The sequence below is a fragment of the Homo sapiens genome, chromosome 2 (genome assembly GCF_000001405.40).
Source record: "Homo sapiens chromosome 2, GRCh38.p14 Primary Assembly".
Taxonomy (NCBI): domain Eukaryota; kingdom Metazoa; phylum Chordata; class Mammalia; order Primates; family Hominidae; genus Homo; species Homo sapiens.
The window spans coordinates 173,582,794-173,607,809 of NC_000002.12; positions in this window are offsets into that span (position 1 = coordinate 173,582,794).

A 25,016-nucleotide genomic window follows, 5' to 3' on the forward strand; every position below is an offset into this window, starting at 1 on the left:
TCTCTGGCTGCCCTGCTACAAGAATATCTCATGGCCATTCTTCCCCATGGCCAGAGCCTCTGCCCTCTGGCCTGTCCCCACTCCCCATCTTTCTTCCTCCTTCCCTCTCTTCTTTACTTTCCGTTTCTTAACCCCAAATTCTCTAGCTTGTTCTTTGTTTCATCATCTCCTTCCAGATGTCAGTTTTAGGGTCTCACCTTCACTCCTGGAAGGGTTTGTCAAGGCTTTTGGTAATTTTTTTTTCCTAAAGAAAAATGGTTCCCTCTTTAAAATGTATTTGCTAGCTTTTAAAATATTTTTTTCCAGTTATATTGATTGATGTTATTTATGAATATGTCTTACAGCCCCTTCTGTTGTATGCTCCCCTCAAGGCAGGTTTATCTGTGATTCGTCTCAGAGTTTAAACCCAATGCCTTGTATGTAGTACAGCCTCAGTGTTAAATGAATGAATAAAAAGCTGGTATTTTCTATATAACCCCAGAAAAAGCAAAGCGGAAGAAACAGAAGCACCAGGTTTCCATGTTAGGATACTAATATGATTCAATCACCACTGGAAGAGATCAATACGGGGTCCAGAGGGCTGCTCCTGAACTCACCCTGACCCTAATGAGCAGGTGAATGCTGGGGCCAAGGTCGATGCAGGCTTTGTGCTGTGCCTGTTCCTCGGGAAATGAGTTTGCAGCACCGATTCTTTTCAGAGAGGCTGCTGACCTTCAGTTGAATGATATCAATTTATGATCATTATCAATGAGAACTAGAACTGTTCCTGTGACCCGTGGGATTGGTCCTCCCCATCCCACATGTAACCCTTCAGATCAGATTTCCTTCAGTGAAATCAGAATTGTCACTAGGAGGACAAATTCAAGGCAGAATTACAAAAACCGGCTGATTGGAAGCATGAAACATGAATTTTATTATGAATGCTCTGCCATTCATCTGGCTAAAAAATGGGAAGGAGAAGACTCCGGCTTGGGCACCAATGAAAGAGGCTATCAAACAAGGAAAATGTTCTTGAAATTGTCATTGAACCCAGCGGTTCTTTAGATCCTGAAATTAAACATAGCGCTAATATTTATAGGGCTTTATAGTTCACTAGGGGATTCAAAAGGTGCATGATCTCACTAAATCCTCACAATAAGCCCATAAAGATCATTACCACTACCATTCCACAGATGAGGGAACCGAGACCCACAGAGGCCAATTTTCCAGTATTTAGGAACATACCTAGGAGATGGCAGAGCTGAAATTGGAAGCTTGTCTTCAGACTTCAATCTTTATTTATTTTTCCATCACATAATGCTACCTTGCCTGTAGCATAACTGTAGAACCTTGTCCATATATTGCATGTTCATAGTTCTGGGACGTAAGAGTCTATAATGTATAAAATCATTGGCTTAAATGAGTGATGCAATAGGCTTAGTTACCAGTAATAAAGTTACATGCTTAAAAGTAATGGTTTGAGTCAATAAATAATTTTGCTATTCTGTACATCAGTTTTGACTCATTACTTGGAGTGAGCAAACCTGGAGTGTATAACACCTGATTGAAGAGATGCACACAGGGTTTTAGAAAGCTGGAAGAGAAAAAAGTGGGATGTACTTTCTCTCCCAGCTCCAGGCACTTCTTCCCTACTTCACCAGGCTGGAATGGTCAGCATGGCATGGTCAGCTGGAATGGTCAACATGGCATCCTATGTTTTGGAGTCTAACTGGCGTGGGTGTCCTGCCTCTTCCATCCACTTTGCACAAGTTACTTATCCTCTCTAAGCTTCAGTTTCCTTTTCCTCATCTAAAGAATGGAAACACGTCTGTTAGGATTCTTTGATTGCAAGCAACAGAAACAGATTCACTTTTGCCAGAAAGGGTAATGTATTGGAATAATCTTAGTTCTCTGCCAGAAACAAAGGAAAAGGCCTTGCAAAGAATGGAAACTAGGCAACTCCATGGATCGAGATGACAGAAGAAGTATATTCTCCTCAGCATTCTGACACCAGAATGACTCCACCCTAACCATTTGTCATCCTGGGTTCTCACAGGGTAAGCTTGATTGGCTTACCTTGAGTCATGTGTCTCCACTTTGGTAGGAAGGAGGGGTAGGGGATTTTGACTGACAGGCTCCGGAACCACAAGGACTGGGGCAGAGGCAACTACTTAAAGAAAAATTGGAGTGCTGCTTTGAAAAAAGAGGAAGACAAAAACAAAAAACAAATAAAAAATCCCCCAGAGATTTAAATGGGAATTTTTAAAAATAGGACTTCATAGGACTGTTTTTACGATTAAAGATGTAATAAATTTAAAGTGCTTAGCACAATGTCTGACACACAGTAGGTGCTTGATAAATATTTAGCAATAAATAGTTGTTAGACTGGAGCAGAAGTGAGCTGAGAAGGAATACGAATAATGAAGGAGAAAATAAATAAAGAAAAGGATTCAACAGGTGGCTTGGCAGGGCAAAGAACAGACCTCCTCCTTCCCCTGATACCATGACCACCCTTAAAATACCATGAAATCTGTAGTGAATGCTTTTAATTATTTGAACATTCTATTTTGTATAAAGAATGCCAAGAATGCTAACTGCACAGACACCAGTAAATGGTCACAACCAGAGGCTGTTTCTCCTACTAAACTGAATAACAGATACATAGATACACCTGTATAGAAACAAATGGCAATAAAGATGAAGTATAAATGATTCATTTTCAGAAAATTCAGTTTTAACCATCTAAGGAGTGGAAAGGATATTTTATAATTATTATGATGAAATCATTTAAAAATTACAGTAAAATAGTTTTCACTTATTCTCGTGCAACATGAGTGAAAGGTATTGGCAATTAACAATTATACTGTGATATTTCTGCGTACCACACTAACTGCAATGAACATTAATATTTATATGTTACCTACACTCTTACTGACCAAGCCAGATTTGGTCCCTCGATCCTCATTTCTCAATTCCTAGAGACATAAATGGGAGTTGCAAGTGAGTATCTGAAGACACATTTTCAACTGCTGTAGTTTGTCATTCTTATAGTTTATATCCTGAAAGCTTCATAACCATGGCAAATCAGCTCTCACTCTGGGAATGGTCTTAAACAAGTTGGAAGCCATAAACCTATGGACAGTGCCAAATGTATCTGAACAATCACTCACCTTAATGGTGAAAACGTGGCTCTATTATTTCTAAAATCACGAAGTATTTAAATTGTGATTTTGAACAAAACAATGGTACCTATGTATCTATCAAATCAAATGGACACAGCTTCAGACGTTTACACTGGGACTACTTTGTGTGATACTAGGGAATACAGGTCTCTTTTGGTTCTCACATGTGTATGTAAATCTTGACATTTCTTTAGAATCTTAAAACAGAATAGACTTAATGCATCTCAGTTATAAGCCTTTTGCCTCAAAGTGTCCCATCCTCTACTAAGAGAACCTGCCTTTTGGGGATTAGGTAATGCCTACAAAATTTGAAACAACTCAGATTTCAGAAATGTATTTTGCATCCATGCTTACTTCATTTACAGGAATAACAGGCTAGGAACTTTACAAATCTCTATTTTTTTTTTTTTTTTAACAATCCTTGAATGTTCTCAATGAGTGGAGAACTTCTTTTTTTTTATTTTTAAGAGGCCGGGTGCTGTGGCTCATGCCTGTAATCTCAGCACTTTGGGGGAGGCCAAGGAGGGCGGACCGCTTGAGGCCAGGAGTTCGAGACCACCCTGGCCAATATGGTGAAACCCCATCTCCACTAAAAATACAAAGTCATCCAGGCGTGGTGGCAGACGCCTGTAATCCCAACTACTCGGGAGGCTGAGGCAGGAGAATTGCTTGAACCCGGGAAGCAGAGGTTGCAGTGAGCCAAGATCACACCACTGCACTCCAGCCTGGGTGACAGAGAAAGGCTCTGATGAAAAAAAGAAAGAAAGAAAGAAAGAAAAAGAATAAGTGTTGTTAACTTGAAATGCTTTTTATAATTGATATTACATGATATCTCTCTAAATTAGTAAGTTACATTTACTAATTTATAATTTATATTTATAATTTAATTGCATAAATTATATTTAGGGAAAGGCAGGACTGCAATATGTAGTTTTAGAGAACTAAAAACAGGAAAAATATGTTTACTTGTTATTTAAGTTTGAACGCATGTCTTGGTGCTTATCTTGTATTTATAAAGTGCTGAGGATTTAAAAAACTCATTCCTGTTGACTGATTTTTAATGAATTTGCAATTGAGTATTTTTGTTGGGGTCCACAACATACTTGCTGTATGGGACACTTACATGTGCCACCTAGTATCCTTAGAGAGAATAAAGTTCCCACAGTATTGAGCCCATTGCACTGCTCCAGCCCAGCTCTTAAAATTCTGGTCAGCATCTCCCAATCAGATATGGAAAAGTATCAAGTCGTCTTGGCAAAGTGGCAGCAAATTAGTGGCTTATAGATAAATACATGCTTGTCATTACCTGCAAGTAATAACATATAGGGTAAACAAACAGTACATGAAACTGTTTAAACCATTAATTATTGGAGATTTTGCATGTCCAATCTCATGTTTGAAATCAACTTTTTTCCTCTTGTCTCTGGAGAATAAATGTATAGGATATCTAAAAATAGATACATAAAATTTTAACTTTTTTTTTTAACTTTAAGTTCTGGGATACATGTGCAGAACGTGCAGGTTTGTTACATAGGTATACATGTGCTATGGTGGTTTGCTGCACCCATCAACCCATCATCTAGGTTTTAAGCCCCACATGCATTAGGTATTTGTCCTAATGCTCTCCTTCCCCTTTCCCCCCACCCCCCGACAGTGTGTGATGTTCCCCTCCCTATGTCCATGTGTTCTCATTGTTCAACTCCCACTTATGAGTGAGAACAAATTTTATGTCTTTTTTAAAAAAGAAAGTATCTGAGGAGCTAAAGTATCTCCTCTGAAGAATCATGGTTGTGTTCTTAATGGAGCCTGCCTCCTTACATTTTTCCACATGTAACATTTTCGATGACCAATGTCACAGTACCAAATGGCCCAAATGATAGGAAGTAAACATGCTCCCTTTATCTTCTGCAGTTTTAACATTTGATGTCATCTTTAGCAAAAGGTAGCACTGAGTATGCACTCCATTGTACTACTGTTATGTGGTGATTGCTTATTCTAAGAAAAGTTTATAGTAGAACAATATAAAATAGAAGCAGAGTGAGAGAGGAGAGCTCAAAAATTCAAACCGTTGTTTCCCAGACTTGAGTCATGCTCAGACGGGTAAGAAATAATTTTTAGAAACGATCATCAAAATGAAAACATAAAATTTTTAAATTCTTCTACAATTTCCAGATCCCATAGACTTTACTTTGATAACTACTTATTTAAACTATTCCAAGTGGGCAAATCGAACCCTATCATTATCTTTATTTTTCAACCTAGAAAGAAACATCACAAGAATATCTAGGTAACCCATTTGAAAGTTAAAATGTTCTTACAATTTGAAATTGTTTCCTAATTCTCATATTGCAATTTCCCTCCTTTTGATATGTCTTTGATGGCTCTTTATGGTTTTCACTTTCTAGTTAGTAAACTATGTATATATATTCTAAGATAATAATTAGGTTTCTTCAGGCTTGCCTATTCCAGGTAATAGTGTCAGATCCCATCGTCTTATTTAGGCTTCTATTCTTCTAAAAAACCATTTCTCTTCCTTTCGTTGAGACTCTCTTCCTAGTTTCTACTTCCCACCTTCCAAGTTGAAGAGCCCTAAACTAGAAGCAAGGTCTGCAGAGCAGGCAACCATCCAGGCTACTGTAATGCAGCCCTAGTGTTCTTTGCATGATCTTTATTGTGATTCTTTTAATGGCAGAAAAGTGATCCCACCAAATATTTGTGTGAAGAATCAATAAAGCTACATGAAAACAATCACTTTCTTTGTAGGTGTAAGGTTGTCCTCATGGTTGTGGGATGGTTCCTGGAGCCGTGGGTAAGCCAAGTAAGTAGGGCACTGTAGGGCCGGGCACCCAGAGCCCTGTCTCGTGCATTCTGTGCTATCCCATTTTTATTTTTCATTTGTGTAACTGACCTTTCCTGAGCAGCTTACTGCCGTGGTCTAGTTATGAGAAGATGTGTCACAGAAGTTAAAGATTGCTTGATTCACAAAAACCTGCGTGTTTTGCCTTCTTTTCTGGTATAGTTAATGACTGACAGAACAGAAAACTTTATATAATGAGGCAGCATTACTGCTTAGGAAATGTCCATCTCTTTCTGACTCATTGTGTAACGTTTTCCTGACATTTAAAAATGTCATTTCCTGTGCTCCCCTATCTTCTTCAGCTGTGCGTCAGCCCACCCTGCCTGTCCTCATCATGTCTGCTAATGGGTCCATGCGCCTCTGCTCCATGGACCGCATTGCTGCCCCATGTCAAGCATACATTTTTACACACTATGAGGCCTGTCGGTCATGCTCTTCAATATCATGGGTCTCTCTGCAATCCTTTAGCAGTCTGGACCAGCCGCTGGCTTTTGCCCCACCTCCCGCTGTAAGGTGAGCACTCCGGACAGAGGACATATTCCTGGCTCAGCTACCTAGCAGAACTTTTAACCCTTCAAACCAGCATGACTTCAACTTTGTCGCATTCTGCATTTTCAAAACTGGTTTCAGATCAGTGCCAGTGCCCCTAACAGCCAAAATAAACATTTCATTTCTGACGTTCCTGTATTATTCTCCTCCAACGTATAGTCATTAGCATTGCTTGGTTATGTTCCATGTTCAAAGCACTGTGTGTGTGTGATCAAAACAAGTTTCAACACACGTAACATAGTATGGTCTCTGCAGTTAAGTGTCAATCCAAAGTTTCCTTGGAAAAATACCCAACTTTGAAGGATCTGTGTTAAACAGTTGACTTTGCTGTTAGAGTATCTGAGTTCAGATTGTGGCTCCACCACTGACTAGTTCTGTGGCTTTTGCCAAATTTCTTAGGTGCCTTCTCTGCCAGCCAGGTGCAATGAGTACCTACCTGCAGGCTATCAGGAGGATTACATGAGCTAATCATGCAAAGCTCTTAGAGTAACATTTGTCACTGAGTAAACACTCAGTGATGCGGGTTATTACCAGACAGTATTTTTCTATTTACCTCATGAAATGTTGATTTCTGCATCAGAGGAGTGGCCTATACAAGCTTATGTAGAAAAAAATATTTTTTCATCAGGGAAACAGTCTTGAAAAATGCACATTGTCTGTTGGTTTCGTTGGTGAGCCTGTTGCTTGCTTGGAGCTGCCCTGTATTCACGGCCCTGAAGGCTGACTTCCAGCTCACCCTGCATCTGAATGAACAGGACAGCTGTCCAGAAGTAAAGTCTGTATCAGATTCCCCTGCCAATATAGTTTTTCAAAACATAGGACAGTGGTTTTTAAAATACATGGCAAGTTTTGCTTCTCACTCTGGGCAGGGTTTCTTCTTTAAACTGAGCATTTCTCTATCAACAGCATGCTTTGCAGCTGCCATTTTTGACTCCCTATGGATCCACATCCCATCCAGGCATAAAACCAGTGGCCAATTTCTGGCCTGGAAGGGCTGTTCTAGTGGGTGAGGGAACTGTTCTTTTAAGGGCGGCTGCCACTTGAGAGTGCAAGTTCATTGTTGGCAGCCCCAGCTGTCCTTCATTAGGGTAATGACTGCAGACTGAGGGGAAGGCTCCCTGCCAAAGGTGACTCAGTGGAGAGTCAGATGCCGCTCTCGGAGAATGCAGCTTCACAAAGGGCTGCTTAACCTGGACCCTGGCTTTCACAAGCCCAGGAGGGGAATTTTAGTTTCAAGTACTGTGATTGTTTTCACAGGCCCATAAAAGGGATCTTTGTCAGAGCCTAATCATTATCATAACATTTGAGTGGCCACATAATTCCATTCCGTTCTACAAATAACCAATGGTGTCAATTATGTACAGGACACGGAGCTGGGTCTTTAGGGAATTCCGAGAAACAAGACATGGTTCAAGCCCTCTAGTAGCTTACAATTTAGTAAGGAAGCTAAGACAAGTATAATCACCAATTATCCAAACAAGTGTTCATTGGTTTTCTCTTACGTGCCTGGAAATAGGCCAGAAAAGGAAAAGCAGGTGCATAAAGCCAAGTCTCTGCCCTGGAAGAATGAAAGTAAAATAGGTACCATGGTGATTTCTTTTATCATTTAAGACTTTTTATTTTGAAATAATTTTAAACTTAGAGAAAAAAGTAGAAGAGTACTCTTTGTATATCTTTTACACTGATTTCCAGTTGTTAAGATTTTACCACAGTTGCTTTATCATTATTTTCCTGTAAACTATATATATATATTCTTTCCCATCTGAATCAACTGAGAGTAAGCTGAACACTTCTAAACATTTCACTGTGTATTTCCTAAAAGACAAGGACACTCTCCCACCTAATCACAGAACAACCATCAAAATCAGTAAATTAACATTATAAACACTACTCTGTAATCCAGGACCCCACTTAAATTTTACTAAATATTCCAATAATGTCTTCAAAGTGGGAAAAAATTCCCTTTTTAAGTCATTATCCAATCCAGGATAACATATTACATTTTGTTGTCATCTTTTTGGACACTTCTTCAGTCTTTTCTTGTCTTTTGTGACCTTGATATTATTGAAGCATATTCAACAGTTATTTTGTAGAGTGTCCCTCAATTTGAGTTTGTCTGATGCTTTCTCATGATTAGATTCAGGTTGTGTGTGTTTGACAGGAATACATATGGTAGTGTTGTATCCTTCTCAGTCTATCATGGTAGAAAGGACATGATACCAGTAAAGTCCCATCCCTGGTTATGTTAACTCTGATCACTTGGGGAAGGTGGTGTTTGCCAGCATTCTCTACTGTAGAGTTATTATTTTTTTCTTTTGTAATTCATCAGTATTTTGTGAGGAGCTACCTTGCAATCATGTAGATATCTCATTCCATAAAACCTCTCAACTTGTTTTATCATCCTTGAAAGATTCGTGCCTGAATAAAATACTACCATGATAGCTGCCAATTTTGATTTTTCTAACTTCATCATTGCTTTGACATTCACTGGTTGACATCCTACTGAAAGGAAGTGCTTTCTCTTTTCCCTCACTTATATATTTATTCATTTATTTATTTTTATCAACAAGATCCATGGATTTCCATTTCACTCCATGGGCTATAATCCATTATACCATCATTTATTTTCGTGCTCAAATTGTTCCATATTTGGCTAGTGGTAGCCCCTTAAAGCTGCAAACAACCATCACCAGAAAAGAAAAGAAGTTTAACTGGCTCATGGTTCTGTGAGCTATATAGGCTTCTGCTTCTGGGGAGGACCCAGGAAACTCACAATTATGGTGGAAGGGTAGCAAGCACATATTCACATGGTGGCAGGAGAGAGAGAGAGAGCAAAGGCGGAGGTGCTGAACACTTCCCCACAACCAGATCTTATAAAAACTCTATCATGAGAACAGCAAGGAGGAAGTCTGCTCCTGTGATTCAGTCACCTCCCACCAGGCCCCCCCTTCAACACTGGGGATTACAATTTGACAGGAGATTTGGGTGGGGACACAGAGGCAAACCATATTATTCTACCCCTGGCCCCTCCCAAACCTCGTGTTCTTGTCACATTTCAAAACACAATCATACCTTCCCAACAGACCCCCAAAGTCTTAACTCATTCCATCATTAACTAAAGTCCAAGTCCAAAGTCTCATCTAAGACAAGGAAGTCCCTTCTGCCTATGAGCCTGTAAAATAAAAAACAAATTACTTAGTTACTTTTAAGATATAATGGGGCTACAGGCATTGGGTAAATGCTCCCCTTCCAAAAGGGAGAAATTGGCAAAAACAAAGGGGCTACAGGCCCCATGCAAGTCTGAAATCCAGTAGGGCAGTCATTAACTCTCAAAACTCCAAAATAATCTCCTTTGAGATTCATGTGAATCCATGTATCACATCCAGGCCACACTGATGCAAGGGGTGGGCACCCAAGGCCTTGGGCAGCTCTGCACCTGTGGCTTTGCAGGGTACAGCCCCTGTGGCTACTTTTATGGACTGGCATTGAGTGCCTACAGCTTTTGCAGGTGCGCGGTGAAAGCTGTAGGTGGATCTACCATTTTGGGGTCTGGAGGTTTGTGGCTGTCTTCTCACAGCTCCCTAATGGGGACTCTGTGTGGGGGCTCCAACCCCACATTTCCACTCTGCATTGCCTAGAAATTCTCCATGAGGGCTCTGTCACTGCAGCAGACTTTTGCCTGGACATTCAGTCAGGATGTTTTTTCCATATGCCCTCTGAAATCTAGGCAGAGAGGCTCCCAAGCCTCAACTCTCACCCTGTGTGTACCTGCAGGCTTAACACCACATGGAAGCTGCCAAGGCTTGAGGCTTGCACCCTTTGAAGCAACAGCCTAAGCTGTACCTTGGCCCATTTTAGCCATGGCTGGAGCTGGAGCAGCCAGGATGCAGGGTGCCATGCCCCCAAACTGCAAAGAACAGTGGGGCCCTGGGCCTGGCATATGAAGTCATTTTTCCCTCCTAGTCCTCCAGGCCTGTGATGGGAGGGGCCACCATGAAGGTCCCTGAAATGCTTTGGAGGCATTTTCTCCATTGTCTTGGCTATTAGCATTTGGCTCCTATTTATTTATGCAAATTTATGCAGCAGGCTTGAATTCCTCCCCCAAAAAGTGGATTTTTCTTTTCTACCACATAGGCTGAAAATTTTCCAAACTTTTATGCTCTGCTTCCCTTCTAAATATAAGTTCCAGTTTCAGATAATCTCTTTGTGCACACATATGAGTGTATGCTGTTAGAAACAGCCAGACCACAACTTGAACACTTTTTGCTGAGAAATTTCTTCTGCCAGATACTCTAATTCATCTCTCTCAAGTTCAAAGTTCAACAAATCCCTAGAGCAGGGGCACAATGCCACCAGTCTCTTTGCTAAAGCATAGCAAGAGTGACCTTTACTCCAGTTCCCAATAAGTTCCTCATCTCCATCTGAGACCTCTTCAGCCTGGACTTCATTATCCATATCACTATAGCATTTTGGTCACAACCATTCAACAAGTCTATAGGAAGTTCCAAATTTTCCTTCATCTTCCTGTTTCCTTCTAAACCCTCCAAACTGTTTCAACCTCTGTCCACTACCCAGTTCCAAAGCTGCTTCCACATTTACTGGTATCTTTATAGATACCACATTTACTAATATCTTTATAACAATGCCCCACTTCTCTGGTACCAATTTTCTATATTATTCTATTCACACACTGCTGTAAAGACATATCTGAGCCTAGGTAACTTATAAAGAAAAAAGTTTAATTGGCTCACAGTTCTGTGGGCTGTACAGGCTTCTGCTTCTGAAGAGTACTTAGGAAACTTACAATCATGGTAGAAGGTGAAGGGGAGGCAGGCACAGTCTTCATATGGTGGCAGGAGAGAGAGAGCAAAGGGGTAGAAGCTACACACTTTCAAACAATCAGATCTTGTGAGAACTCTATTATGAGAACAGCAACGGGGAAGTCCGCCCCCATGACTCAATCACCTCCCACCAAGCCCCTCCTCTAACACTGGGCATTACAGTTCATCATGAGATTTGGGTGGGGACACAGAGCCAAACCATATTAGTGTCTTTACCCGTGAACATGAAATAATAAGATTGATGTAACAGGATTACTGTGAAGCTTAAATGAGATGATGCATGTAGGTGCCTAGAACTGCCTGCCACTCTCGAGGACCTCACTAAATGCAAGTTCTTTATAGTCCTTCCTCACAGTTAGCATCTGGCCTGGTGGTGCACACACTAACAGGGGGGTTTCTTATAAGGACACAGGACAATCTCATGAATTGGCTTCCTGCGTGTGGCTCTTGGTTTGTTCTTCCCCATAATGGAGGCCCGTCTGTGACTTCATCTTGCGATGGTGCTCACTCCAGCTCTGATATTACATGCTCTTGCACCTCAGCTCTCCAAAGTTAGCCGATCATTTTCACAGAAATAGGAAAACCAATCCTAAAATTTGTGTAAAACCACAAAGGTCCCTGAATAGGCAAAGAAATCTTTGGTAAAAAGAGCAAAGCTGAAGGCATCACACTACCTAACTCCAAAATGTATTACAAAACTATAGAAACCAAAACAGCAAAACACTGGCATAAAAACAGACAAAAACCAATGAAACAGGATAGAGAGCCCAGAAATAAACCCACATGTTTATGGTCAATTGATTTTCAACAAGGCTGCCAAGAACGCACAATAGAGAAAGGACAATCTCTTTAATAAATGATGTTGGGAACATTGGATATGCATGCAGAAGAATGAAATTGAACCCTTACCTCACATGATACACAGAAATGAACTCAAAATGAATTAAAGACTTAAATGTGACACTTGAAACTGTAAAACTACTAGAAGAAAACGTAAAGGGAATGCTCCACAATATTGTTCTGGGGGCAAACATTTCTTGGATGTGACCCCCAAAGCACAGGCAACAAAAGCAAAAAATAAACAAAAAGTATGTCATCAAACTGAAAAGCTTCTGCATGGCAAAAGAAGCAATAGAATGAAGAGACAACTCATGGATTGGGAGAAAATATTTGCAAGCCACATATCTGATAAGGGGCTAATATCCAAAATATATAAGAAACTCAAATAACTCAATTGCAAGAAAATAAAGAACCCAATTTAAAAAATGGGCAAGAGACTTAAATAGACATTTCTTAAAAAAAAAAGACATGTAAATGGTCAACAGATATATGAAAAATCATCATCTTCACTAATTATCAGGGAAACACAAATTAAAACTGCAATGAGATATCACTTCATACCTGTTAGAATGGCTATTTTAGTAAAAAGATGGACAATAACTTTTATTGGCAAGGATGTGGAGGAAAGGGAACACTTGTGCACTGTTGGTGGGAATGTAAATTAGTACAGCTATTATGGAAAAGAGTATGGAGGTTCCTCAGAAACTAAAAATAGAATTACCATATGATCCAGCAAACCCACTTCAGGATATGTATCCAAAAGAACGGACATCAGTATGTTAAGAGATACCTGCACTCCCATCATATTCATTGCAATGTTACTAGCAATAGCAAAGATATGGAATTAACCTAAGCATCCACCATCAGATGAATGGATAAGGAAAATGTGGTATATAAACAATGGAAGATTTTTCACTCTTGAAAAAGAAGGAAATCCTGGCATTTGCGGCAATATGAATGAACCTGGAGGACATTACGCTAAGCGAAATAAGCCAGGCATAGAAAGGCAAAGACTGTGTGATCTCACTTACTTGTGGAATCTAAAAATGTTGACCCCATAGAAATAGGGAGTAGAATGGTGATTTACAGAGGCTGGGAGTTGGGGTTGGAGGGAGTAATGAGGAGATGTTCGTCAAAGGACACAAAATTTCAGTTCGACAGGAGGAATAGCTTTAATCATCTATTGCACTGAAAGGTGGCTATAATAAATAATAGTGCATTGCATATGTTTAAAAAAGCACTAAAGTTAGCATAGCCAATGTTTCAGTTCTCCCATTTGAAATTTCTTGGAGGGAGAATATTTTTGTCCAGATTTAGTCAGGATTTTGTCTCTGGTCTAATCAGCTGTGGTCAGAGCTATAAACATGAGCAAGAGTAAATTGCCCTAGTCAATGGTGTGGCTGGCCAGGATAGAGCTCTCCAGTGAAAGCACTGTAATTCAAAAGGATTCATTCCAGTCTCTGTAACTAAGGAGGCCTCTCAGTAGATGAGTCTCTAGAGTAGCTAATGTTGGCCCTAAAAAAATACCACATATACATTCTTATCATCAATTAAGTATTATTAACTTAAAAAAACTATGTATCATTGACTATGTGCCCACACTGTCCCAAAAGTTTTATAAATATTTACTCATTCAGTACTTATAATCAGCTGAAGAAAGGTACATGAGTGTCTTCTGCATTTTACAAATTAAGAAATTAAGGCACAGAGAGGCAGGATGATTTGTCCAAGGACAAACAGCTAGTCAGCAGCACAGCCTGGATTTGAATTCAGGTAGTTTGGCTTGCAGAGTTCATGCCTCAGACCACTCCATTATGCTGCAGCTCAGAGTAAGACCCACATAACTACTACACTAGGCTGCCTCTCGGACCAGAGATGCCAGCCTATTTACTTATGACCTAATGACCTGAGGATGTTACAACATGCAACGGCTCTCTTCAGTGCTTTCAGAGATAACCTACCAGCGGCTGATGCTCATCTCCCCACTTTCTTTTATCCTTGTCCAGGTTGATGGGTGGTGGTAGAAGGTCTACTACAGGATTTATATTACCTTGAAAGGGTTACATGTGCTAATGGTTTGGTTTTGAATTCATGTTTTTAAAGTCTTTTCACCTCAGTAACATTTTTCCATTTTCTAAGAACACTTTAAATTCTATTTCTATTACTTGAACATCAGGCACAATTATGCCATTTTGAGTTTCTTCTTTGCAATTAATGCAATCATATGATGCATCACTAATGCCAACCAGGAATCTTATCACAAAATAGTATAAATTATCATATTTCTATATACATTTGCAAATGTCTTATCAACATTCCAATCCTGTATACATTTTTATTAAAAAACACTCTGTTGGATTTCTGGAACTGTTACTATCAGCTGAACTAGATCAGTTTACATGACTGCCTGTCTCACAAAGGAAAACTCTGATTGAAACTGGCAACTTAAATCAAGCCACCCAGGATTTATTATCCAATCAAAGAAGCAATTTCAGGTGCCAGTATTGTTCTTAGGACCGCAAGACTGTTTTATAATATAGATACATAGATAAATATAGATATAGGTTTTCTACATGGATATATAGAGATATATAGAGTGTAATATCTATAAGACATTTTCTCATAGAGATGGTATTATATACCAATACATAGATGTATATAATGAACAATTTTTATATATAAAATTCTGGTACAAAGTAATAAGAATATTGGGTTAATTCTTTAGATAATGATCTGGAAAAGGCATTGGTCAAAAGTTGCCCAGGTATGTCAGATAATTGGTTGTGCTTTGGTTTGATTTCTATAAAAATGGGTGTATCGTCATAAAGTTTGTTCCAAAGGATCAATGTGATTTTAACTTCGGTAAGTCACAAGTCCTCTGCTTCACATCTTCTGTCTGTTAAATAAGTATAAAAATACTTCCTTATACACAAGTTGTTGAGAAAGTGACACAAAAATAGAGGCTCTCCTGATTCTTACCTGAAAAGACAAGAAGATATTAGCATTGCTGGAGCTATGGCTATTGCACACATTGCTATGGTCAGTATGGGAGAACTTGAAGGAATGATCACATATAAAGTCACGTGCATATTTGAGTTTAAGATCTACAATTTATATATTAACTTAGAAGCAAAAACTATAGCTATCTTTTTAAAAAGTCTGCTTTATTGTGGTACATTAACTTGTAATAAAATTAACCAATATTGAGTATGAAATTTGGTGAGTTTCAACAAATATACAGAGAGGGTCATGTAACCACCACTGCAATCGTAATATAGGTATTTTCATCATCTCCACCATTTTCTTCCATTTTCTTTGTAATCTGTCCCCTTCTCTCCCCACTGGTTCCTGGAAGCCACTGATCTGCCTTCTAACTTACAGCTTTGGCTTTTCTAGGATCTTTAAATAAATGGAATCATACTGTGTGCAGTATTTTGGGTCTGCTTCTTTCACTAAGGATAATACTTTTGAGATTCATCAACAATGGTGGGTTTATCAGTAGTCTATGCTTTTTCATTACTGAGTACTATTCCATTGTATGCATATACCATAATTTGTGCATTTACCAATTGATAGACATCTTGGTTCTTTCCAGCTATTATGAGTAAAGATGGTATGAACATTTAAATACAAATCTTACATGGCTATATGTTTTCATTTCTCTTGGATAAATGTATAAGGGGGAATTGCTGAGTCATATAGTAAGTACATGTTTAACTTTAAAAGAAATTCCAAATCTATTCCAAAGTGGCTATACTGTATTAGATTGCCATCAGCAATGGATGAGAGCTCCAGTTACTCCCTATCCTTGTCAACACATAGTACTGTCAATCTTTTAAAAATGTCAGTCATTCCTGTGGGTATATAGTGGAAACTTTATGTGGTTTTAGTTTGGATTTCCCTAATAACTAATGATAATGAGCATCTTTTCATGTGCATATTTGCCATTTGTGTGCTTTTTTTGGTAAAGTATTTATTCATATCTTTTGCCTATTAGAAAAAAGTTTATCTTCATATTGTTGAGTTGGAAGAGTTCTTTACGTATCCTGGATACGTCCTTTGTCAGATTTATGTTTTACAAACATTTTCTCCCAGCCTGAGGCTTGTCTTTTTATTTTCTTAACAGAATTTTTTAAAGTGCAGAAAGTCCAATTAATACTTTTGTATTTTGTAGTTTGTGCTCTCTGTATCCTACTTAAAGCACATCTTTGTCAATCCCAAGATTGCTAATATTTTCTTCTATATTTTCATCAGAAAATTTTTATTTCTAGCCCTCAAATTTAGGTCCATGATACATTTCAATGAATTATTTTATATGTTATGAGGTGATGGCTCAGGGTCTTTTTACACACATAGATATGCAATTTTTAAATTGTTGGATATATTTAAACAATTTTTAAATTGTTGGATAATTGTTGGAAATATTATCCTCTTCCCCATTGAATTACCTTGGAATCTTTGTTGAAAAGCAGTTGACCACATATATGTGAGTTTATTTTTAGATTCTCTGCTATGCCTCATTTATTTGTCAACAAGATAATTGCCAATTCCAGATCCTAATTTACCCACAAAAGTTTGGCCCAGATGGGTAGCCATGGAACATTCGAAGCTTCGGCTAAGAAAACATGGGGAATTTCCAGATTCACCTAACGGTAGTGGTTGTGGTGGGTTAGGGTAAGGCAAAAAGTATTCAAGACCTTAAGAAGAAAAAAAAAAACCCCACGTTTTTGCCCTGGATGAAGCTACACAATCCCTATAAAAGAGGAGCCTGCTTGGCATCTGAGGAAGCGTCTTCAAGATCCACTATCTGGATGCCCGCCTAATCCTGCTTGCTTCCTTAGTTGCAAACTTATCCTCACTTAGGACATTACCTTTTATTCCCCTTCTGGTCCACGTTTTACATTTCAAATCAGACAGTTCCAACTTTATACTGTAGAAAGATAAGCTGTAGCTTCTAGAATTCCTCTTCCCTGGGGGCAAAACCCCAAACTTCCTGTGTATGGGAAGAGGGCTTAAGACATATCGTACTTAGTTTCCTATTCAGCTCTGTCTCAGTATCCTCTCTTGATTTTGGTGTCCACTTTCCCTGTGATGAAACACTCCTTCCTTAACTCTGATCCTACATGTATCTGGGTGATCTGCCAAGCACTTAAAGAATGGGGTGACTTGCCAAAGACTTAATTTGTGATTTATTATTTGACATTTTGCAGGAAGATACCAGTCAGCACCTCCTGCTTAGCCTTTGGGAAGGAATGGTAGGTATTTCCAAAAATTCCGACTATCTTCTCCTACTCTCCCTCAGCAATGGAGAGTGAACAGGACTTTTGGTTTCTAAGGTCTAGGCCCTTCCTGTAGGCCACTGAGGCTGTTAGAAATGGACCAGTCTTCTTAGAGGACTTATAATTTAACCCCCTCTATTATGCCCTGCTTATGGGAAGAGAGCTATTCTTTTTTTAAAAAATTTATTTATTTTTATTATACTTTAAGTTCTGGGATATATGTGCAGAACGTGCAGGTTTGTTATATAAGTATACATATGCCATGGTGGTTTGCTGCACCCATCAACCCATCATCTAGGTTTTAAGCCCCACATGCATTAGATATTTGTCCTAATGCTGTCCCTCCCCTTTTCCCCCACCCCCTGACAGGCCCTGGTGTGTGATGTTCCCCTCCCTGTGTCCATGTGTCCTCATTGTTCAACTCCCACCTATGAGTGAGAACATGCGGTGTTTGGTTTTCTGTTCCTGTGTTAGTTTGCTGAGAATGATGGTTTCCAGCTTCATCCATGTCCCTGCAAAGGACATGAACTCATTCTTTTTTAAAGGCTGCATAGTATTCCATGGTGTATATATGCCACATTTTCTTTATCCAGTCTATCATTGATGGGCATTTGGGTTGGTTCCAAGTCTTTGCTGTTGTAAATAGTGCTGCAATAAACATACGTGTGCATGTGTCATTATAGTAGAATAATTTATAATCCTTTGAGTATATACCCAGTAATGGGATTGCTAGGTCAAATGGTATTTCTGGTTCTAGATCCTTAAGGAATTGCCACACTGTCTTCCACAATGGTTGAACTAATATACACTCCCACCAACAATGTAAAAGCATTCCTATTTCTCCACATTGGAAGAGGGTTATTCGATTCTTGTAGAAAGAGGCAGCAGAATGTGAGTGTAGTTCAGAAAATAAAAAGGAGGGAAAGGAGAAGTATAAGAGAGGGACTTTGTGTCCACTGACTGTCTAAGTCATATTGGAATCTTTTCTAGGGTTGTTACGTGGTCTGGGATGTGCTAGGACTCAAAGATTGCTGAGACAGAATTGGACAAGCATTCCCAGAGCACTGGTCAGACCAGTGGATCCATCCCAGCACTGAAGCCCAGGAAGACTCACCAGGAATTCTGTCCCTTTCTGTCAGTAGGATTCTTGCTGTCCCTGTACTATGGGATCTTTGTCTACTACCTTCTAGTCTCAGTAGTGTAGGTTCCTACATTTCAGAATACCACCAGGTTATGTCCTAGTTGCAAAGGGCATGCAGCCAGGCAGGGCCAATGTTATGGGTGTACCACCTGGGCAGTTGCACAGGATTCACACTCAGAAGGGTCCCATGCTTGGTTTAATGCTCTGCTGTTTGCCATCTTTTAATCCTTCATGACTTTACCATTGAACCTGTGTTTTGTATTGAAGTCCAATGGAGCAAGTGTGTGAGCAGAGGCAATATTGCAATATACACGTGCACTGTTTCTTGATGCCCCATTTGCATATAGCATTCACCATGTTCAAGAGCATAGAATTCCTATGGACCCATGATGTGAGGGAGTTCATCAAGACCCAAAAGAGATTACCCGGTAAGCCTATTACATCTACGGCTGAGTAAGTGGGGGTGCTAAAAGCTAAAACCATTGAGAGGTCATACTTTTTTTGTTTCTTTCTTTCTTTTCTTTATTATTTTGTTGTTGTTGTTGAAATGGAGTCTCGCTCTGTCATACAGGCTCGAGTGCAGTGGTGTGATCTCGGCTCACTGCATCCTCCACTTCCTTGGTTCAAGTGATTCTCTTGCTTCAGCCTCCTGAGTAGTTGGGACTACAGGCACCTGCCACCACACCCAGCTAATTTTTGTATTTTTGGTAGAGATGTGGTTTTGCCATTTTGGCCAGGTTGGTCTCAAACTCCTGACCTCAGGTGATCCACCAACCTTGGGATCCCAAAGTGCTGGGATTACAGGTATGAGTCACCGTACCCGGCCACACTTTCTATTTGAACCAGCACTTGCATTCAACACAGAATGAAGGAAATAGTGTTCTAAGAAACACGAATGGCCAAGGGACACTATTAGATTCTAACCTACTCGCATCACTTTCCTATATTAGCCAACCACTTATGCTAAAAAAGATGACATCAAAGGAAAGAGAAAGATAGAGCAACCCATAATTCTTTTTCCTTTCAGTTCTTTCTTACTCATCAGTAAGCTGAAGATAGAAAGTGTTGGTAGAATGCTTGTGTATCAAACAAGATGCAAAATAAAAAGAGTCGAGGTAGTTTTGTGTATGTGCATGTAGCGTTTCCACTGTTCTGGTAAGAACAAAATACATATGCATGTGTAAACTATGAAATACAAATTGTATAATTTCAGTGATTCTGCATACAAGTTAAATGTTCTTATATTTGCATTTAAAAGTGGCATTGCACAATATAAAGTTGAACAGTAAAATTTATGCCAATAATTTGAAATGTAAATTCTGTTTCTGAGAATGACATTAGATACATTTTTTTAAAAAAACACAGACTATAAGAAGTTGAGAGAGAGAAAGAGAGATCATGGAAGAAGGGAAAAAAACTACACTGTAGTATATTTAACAGTATTTGCATTTTGAACTGGGCCCCACAAATTATGGACAAGCAGCCCCGCATTTTCATTTTGTACTTGGACCTGCAAATTATGTCAGCGTCCTTGAGCCCAGAGTCCCTGCAAAGCACCCAAGTGGGTTGAGAGGCCTGTGAGTACTGACATTTTGGGGGCAGGCTGGCATGCCAGGGTATTCTGAGCTGGGATCAAAGGGAAGTAGACACAGACCTCAGTCAATAGGGCCAGCCTTCCTGTCCAAGAGAAACCATTGAACAAGAGGGTGAACTGGATGTAGCGAATAGGGTAGAGATTCAGTGATCTTTACACAATGCCAAACGTGACCATGCTGAGATGTTTGTGCTCTGAGAGACCTGTGAATGATCTGCCTAGGCTCTAAGGTTAAGGCTTTGATGGTCAAGCTGCTATGCCTTTGCAACTCAGAACTGAATGTAAGCATCTGAGGCCTAGGAAAATCAGAGCATTTGAAAGCTGGGCGGGACCTCCCTAAGGATTGATTCCATAGCTCAGCTCTTTAATTTTATATGTGAGGAAACTAAGGCTCTGAGTTTAATGTGAAAGGAAACCTAAACTCCAACTTAATCCCAGCTTTCTTCCTAAGGAGTTGTGAATCTTAGACAAGACACCTACCTTTTGCAAGCCTCCGTTACCTTAAATTTATATTAAGGTGGTTAAGGTATAAATCCTCTAAGGAGACTGGTTCGTTTTCAAAGCCCTAATATTTAAAAATCTCACACTGACCCCAGGAATTTATATTCATTTGTCATACTCTAAATGGCATATTACGCCATTGAAATTAGACATCAACATCTATGCTGCTGCTTTAATAAAACCTTCTTTAAGATAAAGGCATCATTGACAGGATTGTGTGCTGTAAATTCTGAAACTGTGCTCTATTTCAGGGCGAAGTCAGGAATAATCCAAGTTCACTTACTGGGATTTTGTCTAAAATTTGGGCAGTTCTCTAGGACAAAATAATGAAAAACTAACTGTGAACATGGCCTTGTAAATATAAACATATAAGATTAGATCAATGTTTCATGCAGATAGTATTTATATTTATTTCTATGCTTCCTTACCTCTTGGGAGAATAGGAAACCATTAACCCTAATTTCCACAGGAAATGAGGTGATTATGGTGATTTTGGTCAAATATTAGAGCACTGTCAGGGATTCTGTTGGTTTATGTGAGCAACCCATAATACTTGGGTTTATAGAAATAATGATGTTTATAGACGAATTCACCTGATATACTATGGTGAAGGTGAAGGGACAGATCTGGAATTGATAGCTAATTTGTGTAACTGGCCAATTAATAAATATCACTTTTACGGTCAAAAAAAGAGAGAAGGAAATAGGCTGGAGGTGTGAAAGAGCTTTGTCAGAGAGTTGCTATTGCCAAAGCTCCCAACTTTGTTCCAAGAAGACAAGTGTTTTCATGCTGCTGATAAAGACATACTCAAAAACTGGGTAATTTATAAAGAAAAAGAGGTTTAAGGAACTCACACTTCCACGTGGCTAGGGAGGCCTCACAATCCTGGCGGAAGGTGAAAGGCATGTCTTACATGGTGGCAGGCAAGGAGAAAATGAGAATCAAGTGAAAGGGGTTTCACCTTATGAAACCACCAGATCTCATGAGACTTATCCACTACCATGAGGACAGTATGGGGGAAACTGCCCCCATGATTCAGTTATCTCCCATTAGATCCCTCCCAACAACACATGGAAATTGTGGGAGCTACAAGCAAGATGAGATTTGGGTGGGGACACAGCCAAAGCTATCCTTATTGATATGGTTTGGCAAAACTATATCAACAAGGAAAGCTTTGGCAGTAAATCCTGCCACTAAATCTCACTCTGGGAACTAACCGTTTGTCTCAGTTCTTGGATTTGGCTTTGTCCTAAGGTCATGGCTTTCTGAACTGGAGGCTCTTGGCACTTTATTTGGATGCTGTGTTGGCCCCTCTCTTGCATAGGGATGACCATGCCTGGATACAACTGTGGGTTCCATCACAATTGATCTGATGTCATCCAGAGCAGAGAGAATGATCATCTTTAGAGTTCTTGCCCAACCCTAGACACAGAAGTTTATAAATATGGAGCTGTAAATTTTATTATCCCTCTCTAGCGATTCTCATGGAAGAAATAAATTGGCAAAAGTTTAATTTGTTTTATTGAAGCTCTTTCACATTCTTAAACATTTCTTTTTTTTTCTTTTCTTGAAATAGGGTCTGGGCCATCTACCTGGTTCCGCAGATTGAGGCTCATGAATGGAAGGGGGCACTAGAAAAATAAAGAGCTTGAGGTCTCCGGAAGAGATCCTGCTCTAGGTGCTGAAGTCTGCATGGGTTGATGGGGAATCATGGTTTCTTTACCTTCATTTCCTGACCTAGACTCACTGTCAGCTCCTGTGTCCTTTATCCTTGGACTTGTTTGCAAATTCTGTTTCTTGAATTAACCCCTGTTCCTTCTATCTTAACTTCTGCTGCTGAGTTGACCTTGTGTTTTGCATTGACTGTTTCTAACTCCATTTTTTACTTGACACACTGAATTTTAGCATCAACGACTCATCTTATCCAACCTGCAAGACTGGCCCATCACTAGTTTGGATTTTCATCACTTCCTGCTTGTCATGTGGTACTCTAGTCACTAAAACTGGAGAAAGGCTCCATTTTTCCTCTATTGACAGCCTTTTCTCCCCAAATCATGGATGGTGGTAGTAGTGGTAGCAGGGTATATTGGCAGCAAAACAACGTGTTTTGGTTTCCTGGTCTCATTTTCCCTGGAACGAATTTCTTAGATGAGTTTTAGTTGCTAGGAGAATTGCCTGTTTTCCTCAGGAAGATCTCGTAAGTGTGCTCTATTTAGGTTTAATTAATAAATGCATTTTCATTGGCTCTTTCTACTGTGAAATGAGCGAAGATTAGAGGCATGTCAAATCAAATAGTTCTAAAGAAATAAATTAACAAACCAATGAAAAAGCACTTTATTTTAAGCACAGAAATGTTATGCTATCAAAGCTACAGTTAAATATATAAACAATACTGTCTATTGTGTCAAATCTTATAAATCATAAACATAATTTAATCTAATGGGTATTAGCAGGAAATGCTCGTTTTTTTTTTGAAAATGAATTGTTGTTTGTATATGTAGGAAAAGAGACCAGTATCTCCCAGTGTGGAAAATGTATATTTATAATCCACTGTAGTGGTTAACAGCATGATGTTAGGAATTGAAAATCCTGGATCCTGAACCTGGCTCTGCCACTTATTAGCTGTGGACCTTGGGCAAACATCCTTATCTGGAAAATGGAAATAACAGCAGTACTGACCTCATGGGGCTGTTGTGCATTTTAAATGAATTAATATGTGTAAAGTGCTTGGTTCCATGCCCTGCATATAGTAATTACTTAATAAATATCAACTATCATCATCATTATTATTATGTGCAGGATGAAAAAGAAACTAGAGTAGAAACTCAGGAACTCTGAAAAAGACTTTAAAAAGTAATAAGAAGGCTTTGAGGTAGATTAACAAGAGCAAAACAACAAAGTAAAATGGAAGAAATAAATGTACTTTTATTTGCTTTTTAAAAATTAACAAATAATTTCAGAGATTGAAATTATTTCAAGTACTTTTCCGTGGCCAAGCATAGAGCACTGTCACATTCACTGAGTGTCTCACTCTATAAAGATTGTAATTACGATCAAGCTGGTATTAAACCAATCAAACGAGCCTGACCCAACAGTCATACATTGCTTTTCAATGTCAAGTTCTTAAAAAAAAAGAAAAATAAAGCTCTTTAATTTATGGTAATCTAATATGTGCATAGTGCTTCAAATGTTCTATTAAACCAATGTAGTCAAAACTCTAAAATTTTAAGCATTCTCAGACATAAGTTGCATCAGCCAGCCTAGGGCAGTGGCTGAAAGGTGGAGGAGGGCCGGAAAGAAAAAGAAGAGAATGCTTTATAATAGTGGGTCATTATTTCCTTTGTTATATTTTGGTTTCTTTAAAATTGTTCAGTTGCATTTAAGTCCCCAAGAACCACGAAAATTATGTTGAACAATAGCAGGGATTTGTGAAAAGATTCCTCAGATAACATTTGAAAAACACAAGCAGCCCTTGAACCTTTTTGCATCCAGTAACATCTGACAGGCTTTGTGAGCTGCAGCCACCTGCAAGAATTCTAAAATAGATGCTTTCACACAACAGAGAATTCTCAGAATTGATGTGTTAATATCATTCTCTTAATTACTTGACATCTGACCTAAGTAGTGGTAACAAGATGATTTCGGCCGAAGTGAAAGGGAGAGTTGAGGCTGTCATTCACATATTTTTGGCCACAAAATAAAGAAAGAAAAAGGACAGCTACTGAGAAAAAACTTTGTGTCATGAAAAAACATTTTATGGTATCAGTTAGACAAATTGTCTACCCAGCTGAAGTTCACTAAATAATTACTTAATCTACCACTTCATTTTTTCTGTGTATATCAGCTTAGCTTTTCAACAGCATGAAGAGTTTACTTACCATTTGGGGGTGGTGAGAAGAGAGTAGTTGGGGTAGAGGGTATGGAATCCTCAATGGAAAATGTATATTACAGTGATTTTGTTTATGGAGATTCCTCAAAGCGTGGAATAAAATATATAGAAATAAATACAGGTTTAAAAAATACTTAGAAGCCCCAGGGCTAAGAAAAACTCCAAATAATGGAAAATTCATTAAAAGATAAAAATTATAGGTCTGAAATTCAAGTTAAATCAATAACTTCTACTAATGAAAGCAAGCCTCCCTGGGTGGGTCACATCCCAGCTGCTTATTTCCCAGCCCAAGACAAGGTTTTATTTCCTATTTGTCTTCCTCTTTTTTCAAACTGTCAACACTGCAAAGCCAATACAGCTGCGG